A 22,673-nucleotide genomic window follows, 5' to 3' on the forward strand; every position below is an offset into this window, starting at 1 on the left:
TAAAGAGAGACAGGGTGTCACCATGTTGCCCAGGCTGATCTTGAACACCTGGCCTCAAGTGACCATCCCGCCTTGGCCTCCCAGAGTGCTGGGATTACAAGCATGAGCCACCACACCCAGTCTGCTCTAAACTTTTTATAAACACAGTGTCATTGAATGAACCCTCAGCAACCCTGTTATCTGCATTGCACAAATGACCTGGGCTCAGAGAAGGTGAGTTGCCTGCCCAAGGTCACACAGCAAACAGGTGGCAAAGATGGAACCGGACCCGAGTCTGTCCACACTCTCCAACAGCAGCTACACTCTAGCCAGCCCCAGGCCCTGGGCCAGCCGGATCCCGAAGAACACCCCTCGCCATGCCGGCGGGCATCCCACCAGCCGGCAACCTCACACAACCACCATGCAGTGGGGGTCATTACCGGTCCACAACCTCTGACAGGCAACTCCAAAAGCCAAAAGCTCTGAACACATTTCTTTTTCAAGTTTGGCACAAACTCATGAAGCAGCAAAACCTGCCCTGCCCCGAGTCTCTCCAGAGGCCTGACTTACTCCTTAGTGTGATGCTTCCCAATCTTTTACTGCCGAAATGGGAGTTTGACTCGGGGGAGCTGCCCAGACCCCACTGTGGGCATCACACACCACACAGCATAGGCCTTGTCTCTAAAGGCTGGAAAATTCTGAATTCCAAAACAAATGGCTGCGCGCAGTGGCTTACACCTGTAATCCCAGCACTTCGGGAGGACCAGGCGGGCGGATCACTTGAGGTCAGGAGTTTCAGACCAGCCTGGCCAACGTGGTGAAACCCCGTCTCTACTAAAATTACAAAAATTAGCTGGGCATCGTGGCACATGCCTGTACCAGCTACTCAGGAGGCTGAAGCATCAGAATCACCTGAATCCAGGAGGCGGAGGTTGCAGTGAGCTGAGATCCGTGCCACTGCACTCCAGCCTGGGCAACAGAGCAAGACTCCGTCGCACAACAAAAACAAAAAACCACATCCAGCCTGGGGACTTCAGATAAGGGACTGAGGGCTCATGTTGACATGCACGTGTTACAGAGACGGAGACGGAGAGGAAGGCTCACTTACCTGGGTCACAGCCAGACCACGTACTCGGCAAGATGCTAAGATGCTGACTAAGCGCCTACCTGTGCCAGGCCCTGGGCGACCTAAGTGGTTTACCCCAGTTCTCTCTCTCAATCCTCTCAACCACCCTGGGAGATCAGGGAGGATACATTCCCATTTCACAGATGAGAAAACTGAGGCTTGAGAGTCGAGCCCACAGAGAAGCAGAATCAAGCCTAAGTCTGTCTGAATCCCGAACCCAGCCTCTTCGCTGTAAAGCTCTCCTGCCTGAGCAGTGGGGGAAGCCAAGGAAGGAGGGCGGCCCCTTGCCCCCATCTCCCCTCCCGGCCCCAGCCCTAGCCTCTCCCACTCACCATAGGGCAGAGGCAGACCCGTGCCAGCGTCATGGTGAAGGTTGCCATGGTGACGGGGTGGAAGTCCAGGATCTTGGGGTAGATGTCCAGCGGGGACAGTGTCTGTGGCGGGACAGTGGGAGGGATCTCAGCAGGACTGGGCAGGGACCAGGAGGCCCATGGAGGGAGGTCAGGGACTAGGAGGGGACGGGGAAGGGTCCTTACCCCAGATGTGATGATGACAGACTGGAAACGCTCAAATACGGGTTTGATGGCCAGCGAGGCGTCCATGCAGCTGGAGAGAGATGAGGGCAGTGAGGGCCCGGGGGGCTGGGCCCCCGACCCACAGAGCATTCACACCCTCACCGGGCAGGGTCCCACCTGAAGTGCAGGATGGGGTTGGCAATGGTCGGGGTTCTGTCGTCAAAGGGCTCGATGATGATGGTGAAGCCTGCAGAGGGCAGGCAAGGAGGGGTGAGATTACCCCACTACAGCCACAGCTGCACCCACTCAGTCATTCCCTCTCCTGCTCCCTCGCTTCACCCCAATCTCCACCCCGTACTGCCTGGGAGTAAATGCGACCAAACATGACTGCTTAAGCCCCAAACCAGGCATCTGAGTCCAAAATACACCCCAACCTGTCCGCTTCGGGCCCACACCTGTGCAAACTTTCACGAAGGATCCCAAGTAGAGAGCCCACAGCCCCGCCCACTGCTCACTCTCCCAGCACCGCATGGGCTGCCCAGCACCCACGCCAAAGCCAGGAGCCAGAGCCTCAAGCTTTCTCCCATGACCTTTTCTTGTTTTTGTTTTTTGAGATGGAGCCTCGCGCTGTCGCCCAGGCTAGAGTGCAGTGGCATGATCTCGGCTCACTGCAAGCTCAGCCTCCTGGGTTCAAGTGATTGATTCTCCTGCCTCAGCCTCTTGAGTAGCTGGGATTATAGGGACACCCCCCTACAACACACCCAGCTAATTTCTACATTTTTAGTAGAGATGGGGGACCTGCAGTGGTCCACCCGCCTCAGGCTCCCAAAGTGCCAGGATTACAAGTATGAGCCACTGCACCTGGCCTCCCACGACCTTTCTACCTAAGCCATCAGCAAAGCCGGGCAGCTCTGCCTCCAAAACCTACCTGCAATTCGCCCACTGCCCCCGACCCCACGCGGGGCCAGCCACCATCACCTCCTGCCTGGACCCATCATCCCCTGCTCGCTTCACGGCAGCCAGAGGGACCCTAGGGAAACCTGAGTCCCTGAGTCCAGCCATGTCACCTCCCCGCCCCAAGAAGCCTCCCATGGCCCCCACATGCCTCCAGTGGCCTGGTGCCTGACCTTCAAAAATCAGCAGGCTCAGTCCCCCCAGGGCCTTTATACTTGCTGGTCCCATGTGGCCTGGAAAACCTCCCAAGGCTGCTCCATTTGGTCATCTGAGACTGCTCAAAAGTCAGCCCCTCCGAGAGGCCCTCCCCAGCCACCTTTTCTACGCAGACATATTCCAACACAACAATGTATTTTTTTTCATGATAACTGTCACTTTCTGGAATTATTTCCTTGTTTATTTGGCTGCATCTTTGCTACTGGTTTTCCCATCTGGAATATAAGTTCTGGGGGGTTAGGGATGAGATCTTTTTTGGTTCCTGCTGCTTCCACAGTGCTGAGCCTGGCCTGTTTGTTGAAGAAATAAATGAATGAATGAATTTACATATTCGGTTTCACACAGTGAAAAAAAATCAAGTCCTCTGTGCTGGGGACACAGTGGTGACCAAGCCAGCCTTGCCCCTGCTCGCATGGGTTCGCAGTCCAGTAGGAGACAGACTTGTCCTCAGATAGTGATGACTGAGAGTGGGCAGTGCTGGGACAGAGGTGCCCAGAGGAGGGGCCTGACTCAGCCTGGGGGTCAGGGAGGGCTTCCTGGAGGACAAGACATCTCTACTAAGCTGAGAACCTAAGGATGAGGGGGAGGTGGTTGGGGGATGAGGAAGATGAGGAAGGATGATCCAGGTGAAAGACCATGAGGTGTTGGCAGATGGGAAATAGTGGGTAGAGAATGACAAAGGTAGGGATGGAAGATGGGGCAGGACAGAGAGACAGAGGCAGAAGCAGCAGCCAGCCGGCCTCGCTACCCAGCCCCAGGGCAAGGGCCCAGATCTCCATCCTCCTGTCAGGCCCTGCCGCAGGACATGAGGCCCGATCTGGTTTCCTGGGTACAGGAGAAACCCCCAGGAGGCAGACTGAGCCCCTGGTCAGCTTCACGCTGAGGATGGGGAGGGAACACCGGCCCATAAAGCCTCCAGAATGATGTCCCTCTCTCGTAACCTGAAAATCTGAACATCAGCCTCTACTCCTCTTGTCCCTGGTCCCAAAACCCAGGCACCACGCTCCCCATATCCCAGCCTCTCTACCTCCCACATCTCTCTCCAAACCATACCTTTCTCTCTCCCCATGGCCACATCCTGGCCAAGGCCCCTCCCCTCCTGCTCAGGTCCCTGCCTGCCACCCAGTCTCCTGCCTCTAGTCCCTGCCAGAAGAACTCTTTTTTTTTTTTTGAGACAGACTCTCATTTTCACCCAGGCTGGAGTGCAGCTGGTGTGATCTCGGCTCACTGCAACCTCCGCCTCCCGGGTTCAAGCAATTCTCCTGTCTCAGGCTCCTGAGTAGTTGGAACTATAGGTGCGTGCCACCACGTCCAGCTAATTTTTGTATTTTTAGTAGAGACGGGGTTTCACCATATTGGTCAGGCTGGTCTCGAACTCCTGACCTCAGGTGATCCACCCACCTCAGCCTCCCAAAGTGCTGGGATTACAGACATGAGCCACTATGCCAGGCCTATTTTTTTTCTTTTTTTTTTTTGAGACGGAGTCTTCGCTCTGTCGCCCAGGCTGGAGTGCAGTGGCACGATCTCGGCTCACTGCAAGCTCTGCCTCCTGGGTTCACGCCATTCTCCTGCCTCAGCCTCCTGAGCAGCTGGGACTACAGGCGCCCGCCACCACGCCCAGCTAACTTTTTTTGTATTTTTAGTAGAGACGGAGTTTCACCATGTTAGCCAGGATGGTCTTGATCTCCTGACCTCGAGATCCGCCCGCCTCGGCCTCCCAAAGTACTGGGATTACAGGCGTAAACCACCACGCCCGGCCTTTTTTTTTTTTTTGAGACGAAGTCTTGCTCTGTTGCCCAGGCTGGAGTGCAGTGCCACAATCTTGGCTCACTGTAACCTCTGCCTCCTGGGCTCAAGCAATTCTCCTGCCTCAGCCTCTCAAGTAGCTGGGATTACAGGAGCCCACCATCACACCTGGCAAATTGTTGTATTTTTAGTAGAGACAGGGTTTCACCATGTTGGTCAGGCTGGTCTCAAACTCCTGACCTCAAGTGATCTGCCCACCTCGGCCCCCCAAACTGCTGGGATTATGGGCGTGAGCCACCATGTCTGGCCCCAGCTAATTTTTGTATTTTTAGTAAAGATGGGGTTTCGCCATGTTCACCAGGCCAGTCTCGAACTCCTGACCTCAGGTCATCTGCCTGCCTAACCATTCCAAAGTGCTGGGATTACAGGCATGAGCCACTGCGTTCAGCACCCAGAAGAAATCTTTCCAAAGCACAACTCTGGGCCGGGCATGGTGGCTCACGCCTGTAATCCCAGCACTTTGGGAGGCCGAGGCCGGTGGATCATGAGGTCAGGAGATCGAGACCGTCCTGGCCAACATGGTGAAACCCCACCTCTACTAAAAATACAAAAATTAGCTGGGTATAGTGGCATGCGCCTGTAGTCCCAGATACTCGGGAGGCTGAGGCAGGAGAATTGCTTGAACCCAGGAGGCAGAGGCTGCAGTGAGCCAAGATCACACCACTGCACTCCAGCCTGGCAACAGAGCAAGACTCCGTCTCAAAAAAAAAAAAAAAAGCACAAATCTGACCTGGCACCTTGCTTGCTAGAATCTGCCATGGCTCCCCAGTGCCCTCAGGAGCACAAAGATCAACTCATTACCGTGCCCTCTAGTGTGAGCTGACCCCATAGAATTTCTCTGGCCTCCTCCCTTACCACTGCCCATGCCATCCTTCTCCACTCTGCAGCCCGAGGAAGTCTGTGAAAATGTAAATCTGAGCACAAGGCTTACTCAAGAACTATGTATGGCTCCCCACTGCCTTCAAAATAGGGCCCACACTTCCAAGCCAAACCCCACAAAGCCCTGTGTGTCCTGCCAACAACCCTCTAGACCCTGCTGGGACCCTGATTCCAGCTGCTAGGAGGCCCAGCAGGGACAGAAAAAGGTGAGCTTACCTTTGGCGTAGGTGCTGACAAGGGTGGCAAAGTTAGCAAGGAGGGTGAGCGGGGAGAAGTCAGCAAGGTCGGTGATCTCCAGAGTATGCAGCAGGGACCGGAGGCGTTCAGCACAGAATCTGGCGGGGAGGAGAGACGGGGTCGGGGGGCAGACGGAAGCATGAGCAGGACCAGCAGCCCTGCCTCCGCCATCACGACGGTCACGTGCCTGTCTCCCCAGCCAATGAGCACTCAGTGAGGGTGGGCACTGGGCCTGTTTTGGAAACTTGCACCCCCACGCTGTACACCTGCATGTCACAAATAGCCATTGCCGCATAATGGCACAGACAGAGCAATAATCAGACACTCCAGAGTCATGTGGTCACTTGTCACACCTGCTAGCACGACCTCCTAAGTGGGTTCTTTTTTTCTTTTTCTTTTTTTTCTTTGTTCAGATGGAGTCTTGCCCTGTCATCCAGGCTGGAGAGCACTGGTACCATCTCGACTCCGCCTCCTGGGTTCAAATGATTCTCCTGCCTCAGCCTCCCAAGTAGCTGGGATTACAGGTGCCTGCCACCACACTCAGCTAATTTTTGTACTTTTAGTAGAGACGGACTTTCACTATGTTGGCCAGGCTGGTCTTGAACTTCTGACCTCGTGATCCACCTGCCTCAGCCTCCCAAAGTGCTGGGATGACAGGTGTGAGCCACTGCACCTGGCCCTAAGTGGGTTCTGATCAAAACAAGAGACGCACAATCACACCCAGAACCCCCCAGTCATGGCATTAATCCCGCATGGCCACATGGTCACGCATTCACACCCAGAGCCTCTCCCACTGCCTCTCACGCACCTATGGGGACACACACGGTGTCGGAACCCCATGGGCTCACAGAGGAATGCAGTCAACACCCACATCCCACAGAGTCCCACGGATACCACGTCCACACACTCACGCATGTGCAGGGCCACTCGGCCACAACCACACACAGGCAGGGCCGAGGCAGGGTCATAGAGCAGCTGGCTTTGAAGCCAGGTGGGCAGTCACACTTGCAAACCTGCCTCCCGCACGTCAGCCCTCCCAGCCTGGCTCCTCTAACCCCAGGCGCCTACCCCGGCTGGTCGCTAGCTGAGGATGAGTCTGTCCCCTCCACTGGGCCATGGAGCCTCTACGGCTGTGTCCCCAGCATGAAGCAGGCACTTGGGGAATGTGTGTTGAGTGACTGAGATCCCCTCTTTGCCCTCACAAGTCTCCAATCCTGGGGAAGATGGGCAAACCCACATGGAAGGTGGCCTCACCCACAGAGGCAGGGCAGCCAGGGCCTTTGGAGCCCACAGGCATGGCTTCAAGCCCCAACTACCGGGCACAGTGCTGTGTGGCTCTGGGCAAAGGCTTCCCCTCTGGGAGTCCCAGTGTCCTCATTTGCAGGGTGGGGATGCTGTACTGGGGGTGCAACTGAGGTAAGGAACATAAAGGGCTTAGCTCCTCCTTAGTGCTCAGGGCAGGGTAGGTGATTGGCTTCGCTGCTCTCTCATTAACCCACCAAAGAACCCTGTGAAGTAAAGACCCGACTCCTTGGCCATTTTACAAAGGAGGAAACTGCAGTTCAAAGAAGACCCATGACTTACCCAAAGGAAAAGCCCCCTCGTATCCCTTGGTCATTCTCTGCCTGCCCTGTGCCTCAAGAGACTGACTCCCCCAAAATGCGCCCAGACTACTCCATGGGGACGCCCCTGCCCTCAGGTTTGGAAGATTAGAGGCATCGGTGGGAAGATACATGGGCCGGGGACACCTCCTCCAGCTCCCAGCCTGCGAGGCCCTGGTACTGGTTTCTGCTCCCAGCAGAAGCCCCTGTCCAGGCCCCCACCAGTTGGTTCTCAACACACTCCCTCCCTGCCGCTGTGGCCTGGCTTAGCTCCCAGCTCTCACCTCCCACCCTCCTTGGCTCCTCCCCCAGCCCGCCCCTCTGTAAATGGTGCTCCCACTCTCTCTTGGGTGGGGGAGATTCTCCAATCCAGCCAGGTGTTGCCTGCCAGGCCCCTGCCCGACGCACGGACCCAGGATCAGCTCCAACCTTGCTCCCGGACCTCCCAGGTCAGACCAGACAAGGTCCCACGTGCCTCGCCCAGCTCACTCACTCCTGATGCTGCAGTGGTGACCTGGGGCTACAGGCGTGGAGGACACGGCTCTGCATAACCGGGACCTGCCGGGCCCCCACCCCGCGCGCTGTCTGGGGCCGCACCTGAGGGGCTTGCGCTGGATGCACACGCGCTGGGCCAGGCCGCTCAGGAAGGCGGGCGGGCTCTCCTGCACCACATGCTGCACACGCAGCCGCCACTTCACGTACTCCAGCAGCCGCCTCAGGAAGCCCAGGAAATGCTCGGCCGTGCGGATGGAGCCAGGCACTGCCTCTGCGAGGAGACGCTATCAGCGGCGACGGGGAGGCGGGAAAGGGACTGGGGGGCAGCGGGGGGTCGGGGCTCACCCTGCAGCACTTCGTCGGGCAGCACGGGGTTGGCCAGGTGGGCGTCCGTCTCCCGGGCGGCGCTGGCCTCCCGCAGCCCCTCCACCAGACGCCGGTACTCGTCCCGCAGGCGCTGCTCGTCTGTCTCTTTGATCCTGCGGAGAGATGAGCTGGGGCTGGGAGGGGGCTGGCAACCCTGGGGACAAGTCAGACAGGGGCCAGGGTCCCAGGGGCAGGGCGGGCACCACCGCCAGACGTCCCCGGCCCCACCTGAGCACCGTCTTCTGCAGGGTCTCCAGGTTGCCCTGGCACCGGTCAAGGGTCCGGCGGGTGAGGTTGACGCTCATGGAGTCGATGCAGACGTTGTCTGGAGAAGGGGGAGAGAGCCGGCTCAGGCAGGCCTGCAGGGGCCTCACTCAGAGGGGCTGGCATCCCTTTGGCCCCTGGCGCCCCCCTCACCAATGTTGTGGGCCTCGTCGAAGACCACGACGGCCTTGCGGGCCAGTTCCTTGGACACCAGGTCTGCAATCTTGGGGTCCAGGAGGTAGTGGTAGCTATAAACCACCACATTGGCATGCAGGATCTGGGGGGCCGGGGAGCAGGGTTACCAGGGCCCTGCCACCCCAACCCCTACCCCTACCCCTGGCCACACTGGCCCGTCACTCCCACACAGGCCTGCACAGGCAGACACAGGCCAGGCAGAAGTATGAGCAGATGGATAGAGACAGACCAACAGATACGGGCACCCACCAACAGGGAGATGCAGACAGGCAGACTCACAGCAAGCAACAGACAGACATGGGCAGACAGGAGACGGGCGGGCAGCCCACACCCTCACACTCGCCCCTCTGCCCATCCCACCAGCCTCCTCACTGAGTATCGAGCAAGGAAGTATGGGCACCAGCCCTGGCGCCGCCCCAGGGCCTTCAGGTCATCCAGGTTGTAGATGCCAGCGGGGAGGGGCACCTCACGCCCATGGGCATCAAATTCCTGGGACAAGAGTGCCAGGGGTCAGGGAGGCTGCCTGCCCCAGGCTACCTGTCCTGCCTCCCTCCCTCAGCCCTGCCCTCCAGTAACCTCATAGAATCGGCAGTGGGGCAGGCTGGTGTCATGCTGGTACTGCGCCCGCACATAGGAGGCTGTGAGGCTGTGGCATTTCCCATCGACGTCCTTCCCAAAGCGCAGGGGTGTCACCTGGGGGTGTGGGGCATCTTAGCACCCAGACAGGGTGGAAACCCAACCACTCTTCAAACCCTGGTCTCCACACCTCCCAGCTGGCTGGGGTTTTGGACAACTTGAACCTCAGTCTGTTGCATTATTAGTTAAGACGCGTGGGAACTTAATGCAGGGATACAAGAGTAGTAAAATTGGGCTGGGCGCGGTGGCTCACGCCTGTAATCCCAGCACTTTGTGAGGCTGAGGTGGGCAGATCACGAGGTCAGGAGTTCGAGACCAGCCTGGCCAACATGGTGAAACCCTGTCTCCACTAAAAATACATTAGCCAGGCGTGGTGGCACATGCCTGTAATCCCAGTTACTCGGGAGGCTGAGGCAGGAGAATCGCTTGTATCCGGGAGGTGGAGGTTGCAGTGAGCAGAGATCGTGCCATAGCACTCCAGCCTGGGCGACAGAGTGAGACACCATCTCAAAAAAATAAGTAAAAATAAAAATACAAAAATGAGCCAGGTGTGGTGGTGCACACCTGGAATCCCAGCTACTCGGGAGGCTGAGGCAGGAGAATCCCTTGAACCCAGAAGGCAGAGGTTGCAGTGAGCCGAGATCATGCCACTGTACTCCACCCTGGGCCACGGAGCCAGACTCCCTCTCAAAAAAAAAAAGAGTAGCAAAATTGTTACATTCTTACAACTACAAGTTATACATACATATTTTTGGAGACAAGTCCCTCTGCTACTCAGGCTGGAATGCAGTGGCCCAATCACGGCTCACTACATCCTTGACCTCCCAGGCTCAAGTGATCCTTCCCCCACTCAGCCTCCCGAGTAGCTGCGGCCACAGGTGTGCACCACCATGCCCGGCTAATTTTTGTCTTCTTAGTTGAGATGAGGTCTTGCTATGTTGCCCAGGCTGGTCTCAAACTCCTGGTCTCAAGCAATCCTCCCACCTCAGCCTCCCAAAGTGCTGGGATTACAGGCTGAGCCACTGCGCCCAGCCAGCCAAAACTAATATTTTATTTTTTGAGACGGAGTCTTGCTCTGTTGCCCAGGCTGGAGTGCAATGGCACGATCTTGGCTCACCACAACCTCCGCCTCCCAGGTTCAAGCGATTCTCCTGTCTCAGCCTCCCGAGTAGCTGGGATTACAGACATGTGCCACCACACCCGGCTAATTTTGTCTTTTTAGTAGAGACAGGGTTTCTCCATGTTGATCAAGCTGGTCTCGAACTCCTGATCTCAGGTGATCCACCCGCCTCGGCCTCCCAAAGTGCTGGGATTATAGGTGTGAGCCACCGTGCCCAGCCCAAAACTAATATTTTAAAACAATAAGCCTGAAAAATCTTTAGCATATAGGTTGAAGATAACTACTTCATCCTTGGAAATGCCAAAACGCATGGAACCTTGGCAGGGCCTAAGAATCAAAGGAGGTTCCACACAGTCTGGGACTCCCCTTACCCCTGACCTGCTCTGTACCCTCTAAGGCACCATCACAGCCTAAGGCTTTTTCTGAAGAACAAATCCTTTTCCTACGCCAAAAGGAAAGCTCCAAGGCAGCCAGCCCTTCCTTCTCCATTTCCCCTTTCATCAGTCACCGAGGCCTGTGCTCTTTGTCATCCACTAGATGTATTATTTCTCACATATTCTTACAAATAATGTGATATAATATATAGTCTGTGGGCCCAGTGTGGGAGTTTGAGACCAGCCCGGCCAACATGATGAAACCCCATCTCTACTAAAAATACAAAAAACTAGCAGGGCGTGGTGGTGGGTGCCTGTAATCCCAGCTACTCAGGAAGCTGAGGCAGAAGAATCACTTGAACCTCGGAGGTGGAGGTTGTGGTGAACCGAGATCACGCCACTGCACTCCAGCCTGGGCAACAAGAGTGAAACTCCATTTCAAAAATAATAATAATAAATAAGGCTGGGCACGATGGCTCATGCCTGTAATCCCAGCACTTTGGGAGGCTGAGGCGGGAGGATCACAAGGTCGGGAGTTAGAGACCAGCCTAACCAACATGGTGAAACACCGTCTCTACTAAAAACACACAAATTAGCCGGGTGTAGTGGGGCACCTGTAATCCTAGCTACTCAGGAGGCTGAGGCAGGAGAATTGCTTGAACCCGGGAGGCGGAGCTTGTAGTAAGCCAAGATCACTCCCCTGCACTCCAGGCTGGGTGACAGAGTGAGACTCCGTCTCAAAAACAAAACAAAACAAAAATATATATATATATACACACACACACACACACACACACACACACACATATAAAAACATATATACACACACATATATATGTAAGTATAATATATACACATATATACATTCTGTGGGTTACCACATGTAAAGTATTCAGAACAGTGCCTGGCACACAGTGAGTACAATTTTTTTTTTTTTTTGAGACGGAGTTTCACTCTTGTTGCCCAGGCTGGAGTGCAGTGGCGCGATCTCGGCTCACTGCAACCTCCCCCTCGGGAGTTCGAGCAATTCTCCTGTCTCAGCCTCCCAAGTAGCTGGGATTACAGGCATGTGCCCAGCTAATTTTTCAATTTTTTTTCAGTAGAGACGGGGTTTCTCCATATTGGCCAGGCTGGTCTCAAACTCCCGACCTCAGGTGTCCACCCGCCTCGGCCTCCCAAAGTGCTGGGATTATAGTCGTGAGTCACCATGCCCAGCCAAGTACAATGATTTTATAGCATAATTTAATGATAACTAATATTGTATTTGTCATATATCATTATGCATATAAATATCATGACAATTTCTTTTTTTTTTTTTTTAAGACAGAGTCTCACTCTGTCACCCAGGCTGGAATGCAGTGGCATGACCTCAGCTCACTGCAACCTCTGCCTCCTGGGTACAAGCGATTGGCATTACCGACGTGTACACCACCACCCCCGGCTAATTTTTGTATTTTTAGTAGAAATGGGGTTTCGCCGTGTTGGCCAGGATGGTCTCGAACTCCTGACCTCAAATGATCTGCCCACCTCAGACTCCCAAAGTGCTGGGACTACAAGCGTGAACCACTGCACCTGGCCTATCATGAGAATTTCTAACATTCTTTTAGCTCTTTGTACATGCTAAGGGCATCGGCTGCAACATTTCACCCAATTTTATCATCAGCAACCTTATGAAGCAGGTACATAATTATCCCCATTTTACAGAAAGGAAGACTGAGGCCCAGGTGGCAGAAAATGCCTCTCCATAAATACTGGGCTAGTAAGTTTCAGAGCCAGGAAACCAGGCTTGCCAGAGACTCTAAGAGCTGCCTTTTTAACCTCTCCTAGGCCTGGGTAGAATTTGAAGACTCCCTGGAGGAAGTGTGCTTGCCTGGGCCACGATGAATGAGAATTTGACCACTGAGACGGGAATTCTGTGTGTAGCCACTGCATGCCTTTGCAAGAGATATGGCCTGGGGATCCAGGACTTGTGGTTGGACGAAAGAGTTTTCTCTACCTCTGGGCTAAGGGCAAGGAGAAGGAACAGGTGCTCACCTCAGGGTGAATACACAAGTTTTTGCGGGAGCTCAGAGCCAGTCCCAGAAACGGCAGCTTCTCGCCCTCCTGCTTCTCATAGAAGTTGAGCAACTTTCGAAGCTCTTCAATCACCTACTCCAAAGTTGGGGGGCAGGGGGAGCTTGTGCTCATTGGAGGCACAAACCCCTGCCCTGCCAGGTCCCAGTCTCTTCCCCAGCTTCCCAAACACCCCCGAAAGCTGGTGACGGCCACCGCCAGGGGGACCAATAGGGCCTAGGGAACAGTGGGGCTGGAGCACCAGGATGAGTCCCAGCTTACCTTCTCAATCTCTGGCACAGTTCTTGAGCAGTAGATGAGTTTGGTCACCTCCAGCGGATATGCCTGCCGATAACAAGCGGACTCAGTCCCTGTCCCGCCCCTTCCTTTGTCTGCCTTTACGGGTTCAGCGCATCACTCACTCTCTGGTATGCCATGATCAGGGCCAACAGGGATACTGTCTTCCCGGTGCCTGAGGGCATCTCCAGGACTCCATGACCCTGCATGTTGGGGACCAGAGGGGCAACACACAGGGTCTCAGAACCTTGGGCACACAAACTCTGGGGACTCTCCCCGACCCCCAATGCCACCAACTCAGAACAGCAGGATAACACAGCAGCAGTTAAGATTGGGCAGTGGGTTTGAACCTCACTTCTGCCTCCTCCTTGTTGAGTGGTCTTAGGCAAGTACCTTCACCTCCCCAGACCTCAGTATCCCTATCTCTAAAATGAGCCTAAAGCCAGGCGTGGTGGCTCACACCTGTAATCCCAGCACTTTGGGAGGCTGAGGCAGGTGAACCACCTGAGGTCAGAAGTTCAAGACCAGCTGGGCCAACAAGGTGAAACCCCGTCTCTACTAAAAATACAAAAAATTAGCCAGATGTGGTGGCGCGCACCTGTAATTCAATCTCAAAAATAAATAAATAAAATAAAATGGGCCTAATAATAAAACCTTCCTCATAACATGACTATGAGGATTGTGAGAAATTGCAGGTTAAATATTTGGCACAGTAGCTGATATATAGTGAACTTTTCTCCCTTCTTTTTTAAGAGACAAGTGTCACTATTGCCCAGGCTGGAATGCAGTGGCACAATCATGGCTCACTGCAGCCTCCAACTCCTGGCCTCAAGCGATCCTCCTGCCTCAGCCTCCCGAGTAGGTGGGATTACAGGCGCCCGCCACCACACCTGGCTAATTTTTGTATTTTTAGTACAGACGGGGTTTCACCGTGTTGGCCAGGCTGGTCTCCAACTCCTGACCTCAAGTGATCCGCCCGCCTCGTCCTCCCAAAGCTCTGGGATTACAGGCGCGAGCCACCGCGCCCAGCCTATTCACCATTATTGTTTTAGATAACGGAAGATTATGGGGTCCTGGATTCCCAGGGACCTCGGACTTCTAAAATCCAGACGTCCTGCAATCTGTCTTAGGCCCAGGCGTGGCAGCCCCACCGGTCGAGTGGGCGGGTCGGGCCCACCGGCCACCCACCTTGGCGTCCAGCGTGCGTTTGAGCTCCCGCATGTAGGAGAACTGCTCGGGGTAGATGTAGTCGTACGGGAAGTAGACCAGGAGCCCGTCCACGTTGAGCCTGGCGGCAGGGGCTGCTGGGTCAGTTCCCGTCCCCTCAGCCCCTCTCCCGCCTCCACAGTGCCCGGTCGTCGAGCCCAGAGAAGGGTGACGGGCCCGGCGCCCCCGGTAACCCTCAGGTCCTCAGGAGCCTCGGGGCCCCCTCAGTGTCTCCTCGCTATCACTGCTGCTCCCTGCGGCTGCCCCCGTCCCACCCCTTCACCCTCCCCTCGCCCCCTTGGGGACCCAGGCGCGCCCACCGATGACCCCATCTTCAAGACCCCCCGCGCCCGCTAGCGAGCGCGACCCCCAGCCCCCTTCTCACTTCATGGCGCCGGCCGGACTGTGCAGCGGGGTCGACCCGCCTCCCTCATGAATATTCAGCGAGAGGCCGGGTCGTGGACATCCTCGAGGGCTCGCTCCACCTATATTACGAGACCATTGGCTAACCTGCCCGTCAATCCGCTAGGGCAGAGCCAATCGGGATACTGCGCGTGCGCACGGAAAAGCGAGGGCGGCTGACTCTCGGGTGAGGCGGTGCGGGAGGCGTCACTGAGGATCGTCGAGGGCCAATCAAAAAGAAAACATGGAAGGGAAAGAGCCGAGAGACTCGATCTCATTCACTAGAATTTGGTCCTCCTGCGCCTGCCAAGATTGTCTGAGTATTGATCGAACCCAGGAGTTCGAGATCAGCTTGAGCAAGATAGCGAGAACCCCCGCCCCTCCACCTCGTCTCAAAAAAAAAAAAAAATCGTCTCAGTAGCGAATAGTCTAACGGAGAATGACAGGGAAATTGGTGATCCTTTCTGGGCCCAAGAGTTAGAAATGGCTTTGCAGGCCGGGCGCGGTGGCTCAAGCCTGTAATCCCAGCACTTTGGGAGGCTGAGGCAGGTGGATCACCTGAGGTCGGGAGTTCAAGACCAGCCTGACCAACATGGAGAAAACCTGTCTCTACTAAAGATACAAAATTAGCCGGGCGTGCTGGCAAATGCTTGTAATCCCAGCTACTCGGGAGGCTGAAGCAGGAGAATTGCTTGAACCTGGGAGGCAGAGGTTGCAGTGAGCAGAGATGGCGCCGTCGCACTCTAGCCTGGGCAACAAAAGCGAAACTCCATTTCAAATATTAATAATAATAACTAATAAATAAAACATAAATGCTAGCTTTTGTTTGTTTCTTCAACAAATAGCTATGTGGCATCTACCATGTGTCTGATCCTGTGCTGGCCCCTGGGAACAGAAAGGTGACCATGACAGCCTCAGCACCTGCCCTCAAAGAACAGATTTTTTTCCTTGAGACAGGGTCTTTCTCTGTCGCCAAGGCTGGAGTGCAGTGGCACAGTCACAGCTCACTGCAGCCTCCACCTCTTGGGCTCAAGCGATCCTCCCACCTCAGCTTCCAGAGTAGCTGGGACCACAGGTGTGCACCACCAAGCCCAGCTAAGTTTTATTTTTTAAATTTTTTTAGAGACGAGGTCTCACCACGTTGCCCAGGCTGGTTAAACTCGCAGGTTCAAGTGATCCTCTCCCCTCAGCCTTTCAAATTGTTGGGATTACAGGGGTGAGGCACCAGGCCTGGCCTCAAAGAACAGATATTAAATATACAAATGAATATATGATTACAGCCTGGAGTGGTGGCTCGTGCCTGTGGTTCCAACACTTTGGAAGGCCAAGGCGAGTACATTGCTTGAGCTCAGGAGCTAGAGACCAGCCTGGGCAACATGGTGAAAACCCGTCTCTACAAAAAATGCAAAAATTAGCTGGGCGTGGTGGCGTGCACCTGTAGTCCCAGATACTCAGGAGGCTGAGGTGGGAGAATCACCTGGGCCTGGGAGGCAGAGGTTGCAATGGGCAGTGATTGTGCCACTGCACTCCAGCCTGGGCAACAGGAGTGAAAACCTATCTCAAATGTGTGTGTGTGTGTGTGTGTGTGTGTGTGTGCGCACGTGTATAATCACAAGTACAAAAGTGCTGTGAAGGAAAACTTCAAGTCACCATAAAGATTGATTATGGGCTGGGTGCAGTGGCTCATGCCTGTAATCCCAGCACTTTGGGAGGCCAAGGCAGATGGATCACGAGGTCAGGAGTTCAAGACCAGCCTGGTCAACATGGTGAAACCCTATCTCTACTAAAAAAAAAAAAAAAAAAAAAAAAGCCAGGCATAGTGGCATGCATCTGTAATCCCATCTACTCGGGAGGCTAAAGCAGGAGAATTGCTTGAACCCAGGAGGCAGAAGTGAGCCAAGATCACGCCACTGCACTCCAGCCTGCGTGACAGAGCAAGACTCCGTCCCAGAAAAAGAAAAAAAAAAAAGACTTATTATGACAGGATGTCTACTGTCAACTGTGGGGTGTGAGTGTTGGCCAAGTGATCAGAGAAGGCTTCGTGGAAGAAGCGAGGTTTGAGTAGAGCCAGAAAATAATTAGAAGAGATCAACCAGCAAGAGGGGATGGATGAGAGAAGTGAGAAAGGTGTTCCAGGGAGAGAGACCATCATACACAAAAGCTCTAGGCCAGAAGAAAGCTGAGGCCTGTGAGTGCTGAAAGGAAGCCTGTGGGGGTGGAGCTCTGAGTTGAGCACAGGGAGCAGAGAAAGGGCAGCTGGAGGGGAAGGCAGGGGCAGATCGAAATCTCTTTTTTAAATTAATTAATTCTTAATTTATTTATTTTTGAGACAAGGTCTCACTCTTTCGCCCAGACTGGAGTACAGTGGCACAATCTCAGCGCACCGCAACCTCTGCCACCCAGGCTCAAGCAATTCTCTGGCCTCAGCCTCCCTAGTAGCTGGGATTACAGGTGCGCACCACTACTGCCCAGCTAATTTTTATACTTTTAGTAGAAACGGGGTTTCACTATGTTGGCCAGGCTGGCCTCAAACTCCTGACCTCAAAAGATCCACCCACTTCAGCCTCCCAAAGTGCTGGGATTACAGGTGTGAGCCACCCTTCCCGGCTGTATTTTTGGAGACAGAGTCTTGCTCTGTCCCAGCCTGGAGTATGGTGGTGTGAATTTGGCTCATTGCCACCTTGACCTCCAGGGCTCAAGTGATCCTCCCACCTCAGCCTCCTGAGTAGCTGGGACTGCGGGTACACGACACCACGCCTGGTTAATTTTTTTTAATTTTTTGTAGAGACGAGGGTATCTCACTATGTTGTCCAGGCTGGTTGAACTCCTGAGCTCAAGCAATTCTCCCACCTCAGCCTCCCAAAGTGGTGGGATTACAGACGTGAGCCACTGTGCCCGGCTTAATTTATTTACATAAATTTTTTTATGTTTACTTTTCTATCTCCTACAGGAAGAAAATATATTTTGTTATTGACAGGGTCTCGCTATGTTGCCCAGGCTGGTATTGGGCTCAAGCCATCCTGTTCCCTCAGCCTCCCAAAGTACTGGGATTACAAGCGTGAGCCTCTGCATCCAGCCCAGATCCAAAATCTTTACTGTCACCTACAGAGTCCTCTGTAACTAGCTTACTGCTCATCATCCCCATACCAACCCACCTTACTGCTCTGATCTCCTCCTCTCTCTCCCCCAGCTCATTTTGTTTCAGCTATGCTGGTCTCCTTGCTGTCTCTAAAACATAACAAGCACATCCCATCTCAGGGCCTTTGCACCAGCTATTTTGTCTGCCTGGAATGCTGTTTCCCCTGATAGCCATGTGGCTGACACACTCACCTCCCTCAGCTCTTTGCTCAATTGTCAACTTCTCGGCCCGGCATGGTGGCTCACACCTGTAATCCTACCACTTTGGGAGGCTGAGGTGGGCAGATCACCTGAGATCAGGAGTTCGAGACCAGCCTGGCCAAGATGGTGAAATCCCGTCTCTACTAAAAATACAAAAATTGGCAAAGCATGGTAGCACATACCAGTAATCCTAGCTACCCGGGAGGCTGAGGCAGGAGAATTGCTGGAACCCGGGAGGCAGAGGCTGCAGTGAGCCAAGATCATGCCACTGTACTCCAGCCTGGGTGACAAAGCAAGACTCTGTCTCAAAAAAAAAAAAGTCTCCTTCTCAATGAGGGCTTCCTGACCACCAAATTAAATCTACCTCCTAGACACACACACACACGCACGCACGCACGCACACACACACACGCACGCACGCACACACACACACACACACACACTATATCCCCTTTCCCTGCTTTATTGTTCTTGAGAGCTCATTTAACCATGTGACATGCTGAATATTTTACTTATTTATTTTGTTTAGAAAGCTCCTGGCTGGGCGCGGGGGCTCACGCCTGTAATCCCAGCACTTTGGGAGGCTGGAACAGGTGGATCATGTGAGGTCAGGAGTTCCAGACCAGCCTGACCAACACGGTGAAACCTCATCTCTATTAAAAATGCAAAAATTAGCTGGGTGTGGTGTCGCATGCCTGTAATCCCAACTACTCAGAAGGCTGAAGCAGGAGAATCGCTTGAACCTGGGAGGCAGAGGTTAACGCTGAGCCGAGATCGCGCCATTGCACTCCAGCCTGGGCAACAAGAGTGAAACTCTGTCTCGAAAAAAACAAAAGTCAGCTCCATGGCAGGAGTGATGGCTCACGCCTATAATCCCAGCACTTTGTGAGGCCGAGGCGGGCGGATCACTTGAGGTCAGGAGTTGGAGACCAGCCTGGCCAACATGGTGAAACCTCATCTCTACTAAAAATACAAAAATTAGCCGGGCGTGGTGACACATGTCTGTAGTCCCAGCTACTTGGGAGGCTGAGGCTGGAGAATGGCTTGAACCTGGGAGGTAGAGGTTGCAGTAAGCCAAGATCGCGCCATTGCTCTCCATCCTGGGCAACAGACTCCGTCTCAGAAAGGAAGAAAGAAGGAAAGAGAGAAAGAGAGAAAGAGACAGAGAGAGAGAGAGAAAGGGAGAAAGAGAGAAAGGATGGAAGGACCCTGACAAGCACTGTTGCATAAAAGTTTCTTTTCTCTCTCTTTTTTTTTTTTTTTTTTTTTTGAGACAGGGTCTCACTTCTGTTGCTCCAGCTGAAGTGCAGTGGTGAGAACATGGCTCAGTGCAGCCTCAACTTCCCAGGCTTAAGTGATCCTGCCACCTCAGCCTCCTGAGTAGCTGGGACTGTAGGTGTGCACCACCGTGCCTAGCTAATTTTTTGTATTTTTAGTAGAGACATGGTTCCGCCACGTTGCCCAGGCTGGTCTTGAACTCCTGGGCTTAAGGGATCTGCCCGCCATGGCCTCCCAAAGTGCTGGGATTACCAGCGTGAGCCACTGTACCCAGCCTGAGTATAGGTTTCTGATAAATTTTAGGATCATATTGTTTGGACTGGGTAAGAATTTCCAGAACTCTAATGAAGAAACTGACTGGTTTATATTTTATTTTATTTTATTTTATTATTTTTGAGATGGATTTTCACTCTTGTTGCCCAAGCTGGATTGCAGTGGCACGATCTTGGCTCACCACAACCTCCGCCTCCCGGTTTCAAGTGATTCTCCTGCCTCAGCCTCCCCAGGAGCTGGGATTACAGGCACCCACCACCATGCTCGGCTATTTTTTTTTTTATTTTTTTATTTTTAGTAGAGACGGGGTTTCACCATGTTGGCCAGGCTGGTCTCGAACTCCTGACCTCAGGTGATCCACCTGCCTTGGCCTCCCAAAGCGCTGGGATTACAGGCATGAGCCACTGTGCAAGGCCTAGGCTGGTTTATAAAATTGCTAAACCAAGCAGAACATGAATTAAATACCAAGGAAATACTCTCCTAGATTGTCATGTTACATCAGCCAATACTAAAATTGTCAAGATACACAATTTGAATGAACTCCATGGTCCAAGTCGAATTATCTATGATATTACCCATCTAATAAACAGCACTATGTCCCTTAATGGGAGAAAAAGTTGGAGAATTTAAGAGAATATCAATCCAATGTTGGTTGGGTGCAGTGAATCATGTCTATATTCCCAGCACTTTGGGAGGCCAAGGCAGGAGGATCACTTGAGCCCAGGAATTCAAGGCCAGCCTCGGCAACACGGTGAGATCCTGTCTCTACGGAAAATTAAAAAAAAAAAAAGAGAGAGATTAGTGGGATGTGGTGCCTATAGTCCCAGCTACTTGGGAGGCTGAGGCGGGAGGATCATTTAAGCCTGGGACGTTGAGGTTGCAGTGAACCATGAGTGAGACTCATCTCAAAAAAAAAAAAAAAATGGCGATCACTAGAGGAAAAAAAAACTAAAGTGGGGTTTGCGGGTAGTGGGAGGGCCCTTCCTGCTAGGTTGCACTATGATCTCCAGGGAGGCTCCACGGGAGAATCATTTCCTTGTCTTTTTCAGTTTCTAGAGCCAAATTCTTTGCATACCTTGCATTCCTTGGCTCGGAACCCCTTCCCTAACCTTCAAAGCTGGCAGCTAGCCTCTGGCTCAAGTGTCACATGGCCTGTCTCTGTCTTCCTATCCAATCTTCCTCTTATAAGAACATTGGAGCCAGGCATGGTGGCTGACGCCTGTAATCCCAGCACTTTGGGAGACCGAGGCAGGCGGATCACAAGGTCAGGAGTTCGAGACCAGCCTGGCCAACACAGTGAAACCCCGTCTCTACTAAAAAAATACAAAAAAGTAGCCGGGCATGGTGGCAGGTGCCTGTAATCCCAGCTACTTGAGAGGCTGAGGCAGGAGAATCGCTTGAACCTGGGAGGCAGAGGTTGCAGTGAGACGAGATCGTGCCACTGCACTCCAGCCTGGGTGACAATGCAAGACTCCATCTCAAAAAAAAAAAAAAAAAAAGAACACTGGAGACCAGGTTTAGGGCTCACTCAGATACTCCAGGATTATTGTCTCATTTTCAGATCCTCAAGGTCAGCACAACTGCAACCTCCCTTTTACCATATAAGGTCACATTCACAGATTATGAATTTGACAAACCAAAAATTGGTCATAAACTATGTTAGCAATTTGGAAACAGTCATCATAGCAATATATTTCATTTGAATCATTATCTCTCTCATGATGAATCACGGAGTGCAGAGGTTTGGTTTTATTTATTATTTTTCTTTTTCTTTTTTTTTGAGACGGAGTCTCGCTCTGTCACCCAGGATGGAGTGCAGTGGCGCGATCTCAGCTCACTGCAACCTCCACCTCCTGGGTTCAAGCAATTCTCCTGCCTCAGCCTCCTGAGTAGCTGAGATTACAGACGCCCACCACCACGCCCGGCTAATTTTTTGTATTTTTAGTAGAGATGGGGTTTCACCATCTTGGCCAGGCTGGTCTTGAACTCCTGACCTCATGATCCACCTGCCTGGGCCTCCCAAAGTGTTGGGATTACAGGCGTGAGCTATGGCTCCTGGTCTTTATTTATTTTTCATTTTTAAAAATTATTTTGAGGCCAGGCGCGGCGGCTCACGCCTGTAATCCCAGCACTTTGGGAGGCCGAGGCAGGCGGATCATGACGTCAGGAGATCAAGACCATCTTGGCTAACACAGTGAAACTCCATCTCTACTAAAAATACAAAAAATTAGCCGGACGCCATGGCGGGAGCCTGTAGCCCCAGCTACTCGGGAGGCTGAGGCAGGAGAATGGCATGAACCCAGGAGGCGGAGCTTGCAGTGAGCCGAGATAGTGCCAATGCAGTCCGGCCTGGGCGAAACAGCGAGACTCCGTCGCAAAAAAAAAAAAATAATAATAAATAATAAATAAAAATAAAAATAAAATAAAAAAATAAAAATAATAAAATAAATAAAAATTATTTTGAGACAAAGTCTATTCTGTGGCAGAGGCTGGAATGCAGTGGCGTGATCACAGCTTACTGCAGCTTCTACCTCCTGAGCTCAAGCGATCCTTCCACCTTGGCTTCCTGAGTAGCTGGGACCTCAGGTGTACATTACCACGCTCAGCTAATTATTTATTTATTTATTATATTTTTGTGACGGAGTTTCGCTCTTGTTGCCCGGGCTGGAGTGCAATGGTGCTATCTCAGCTCACTGCAACCTCTGCCTCCTGGATTCCAGTGATTCTCCTGTCTCAGCTTCCTGAGTAGCTGGGATTACAGGTACATGCCATCACGCCCAGCTAATTTTTGTATTTTTAGTAGAGACGGGGTTTCATCATATTGGTCAGGCTGGTCTCGAACTCCTGACCTCAGGTGATCCACCTGCCTTGGCCTCCCAAAGTGCTGGGATTACAGGCGTGAGGCACCACGCCCGGCAATTTTTTTTTTCTTTTTTTTTTTTCAGACAGAGTCTTGCTCTGTCACCCAGGCTGGAGTGCAGTAGCGTGATCTCGGTTTACTGCAACCTCCATCTCCCGGGTTCAAGCGATTCTCCTTTCTCAGCCTCCCAAGTAGCTGGGACT

At 53.1% G+C, this 22,673-nt stretch overlaps 1 protein-coding gene across 8 annotated transcripts in view, besides 5 other annotated features; it reads right to left on the reverse strand.

Moving 5' to 3' along the window:
• ERCC2 (ERCC excision repair 2, TFIIH core complex helicase subunit) overlaps positions 1–14,741 on the reverse strand; it is a 20,737-nt gene extending 5,996 nt beyond the window's left edge. For 3 of the 8 annotated variants that reach the window (NR_199645.1, NR_199646.1, NM_000400.4), the window contains exons 1-15: positions 14,704–14,741; positions 14,301–14,400; positions 13,238–13,315; positions 13,098–13,160; positions 12,798–12,911; positions 9,210–9,326; positions 9,006–9,122; positions 8,592–8,715; positions 8,403–8,499; positions 8,154–8,287; positions 7,911–8,079; positions 5,692–5,810; positions 1,798–1,867; positions 1,642–1,711; positions 1,438–1,539 (exon numbers count right to left, since the gene is read on the reverse strand). Coding sequence is in view for 5 of the 8 variants with exons in the window: in NM_000400.4 (NP_000391.1) it covers positions 1,438–1,539; positions 1,642–1,711; positions 1,798–1,867; positions 5,692–5,810; positions 7,911–8,079; positions 8,154–8,287; positions 8,403–8,499; positions 8,592–8,715; positions 9,006–9,122; positions 9,210–9,326; positions 12,798–12,911; positions 13,098–13,160; positions 13,238–13,315; positions 14,301–14,400; positions 14,704–14,708 (1,479 nt within the window). In the remaining 3 variants the exon portion in view is untranslated. Of the gene's footprint in view, positions 1–1,437; positions 1,540–1,641; positions 1,712–1,797; positions 1,868–2,949; positions 3,081–5,691; positions 5,811–7,910; positions 8,080–8,153; positions 8,288–8,402; positions 8,500–8,591; positions 8,716–9,005; positions 9,123–9,209; positions 9,327–12,797; positions 12,912–13,097; positions 13,161–13,237; positions 13,316–14,300 lie in introns of those variants that run through there. The other 5 variants (NR_199647.1, NM_001440356.1, NM_001440355.1 and 2 more) reach the window with 4 other exon arrangements.
• Positions 1,463–1,629: a silencer, noted in NCBI's record as "fragment chr19:45860553-45860719 (GRCh37/hg19 assembly coordinates)". NCBI's record gives its function as "represses an EF-1alpha promoter that drives an FKBP-Casp9 reporter gene in an ReSE screen in K562 erythroleukemia cells {active_cell/tissue: K562}" and the evidence as "EXISTENCE:reporter gene assay evidence [ECO:0000049][PMID:32094911]".
• Positions 13,495–14,336: an enhancer, noted in NCBI's record as "H3K27ac-H3K4me1 hESC enhancer chr19:45872585-45873426 (GRCh37/hg19 assembly coordinates)". NCBI's record gives its function as "activates a minimal SCP1, AML or CMV promoter by ChIP-STARR-seq in naive H9 embryonic stem cells {active_cell/tissue: H9 hESC(naive)}" and the evidence as "EXISTENCE:reporter gene assay evidence [ECO:0000049][PMID:30033119]".
• Positions 14,955–15,034: an enhancer, noted in NCBI's record as "active region_14791". NCBI's record gives its function as "activates an Ori minimal core promoter by ATAC-STARR-seq in GM12878 lymphoblastoid cells {active_cell/tissue: GM12878}" and the evidence as "EXISTENCE:reporter gene assay evidence [ECO:0000049][PMID:35858748]".
• Positions 19,509–20,346: an enhancer, noted in NCBI's record as "H3K27ac-H3K4me1 hESC enhancer chr19:45878599-45879436 (GRCh37/hg19 assembly coordinates)". NCBI's record gives its function as "activates a minimal SCP1, AML or CMV promoter by ChIP-STARR-seq in primed H9 embryonic stem cells {active_cell/tissue: H9 hESC(primed)}" and the evidence as "EXISTENCE:reporter gene assay evidence [ECO:0000049][PMID:30033119]".
• Positions 20,347–21,185: an enhancer, noted in NCBI's record as "H3K27ac-H3K4me1 hESC enhancer chr19:45879437-45880275 (GRCh37/hg19 assembly coordinates)". NCBI's record gives its function as "activates a minimal SCP1, AML or CMV promoter by ChIP-STARR-seq in primed H9 embryonic stem cells {active_cell/tissue: H9 hESC(primed)}" and the evidence as "EXISTENCE:reporter gene assay evidence [ECO:0000049][PMID:30033119]".

The sequence above is a fragment of the Homo sapiens genome, chromosome 19 (assembly GCF_000001405.40).
Source record: "Homo sapiens chromosome 19, GRCh38.p14 Primary Assembly".
NCBI lineage: Eukaryota > Metazoa > Chordata > Mammalia > Primates > Hominidae > Homo > Homo sapiens.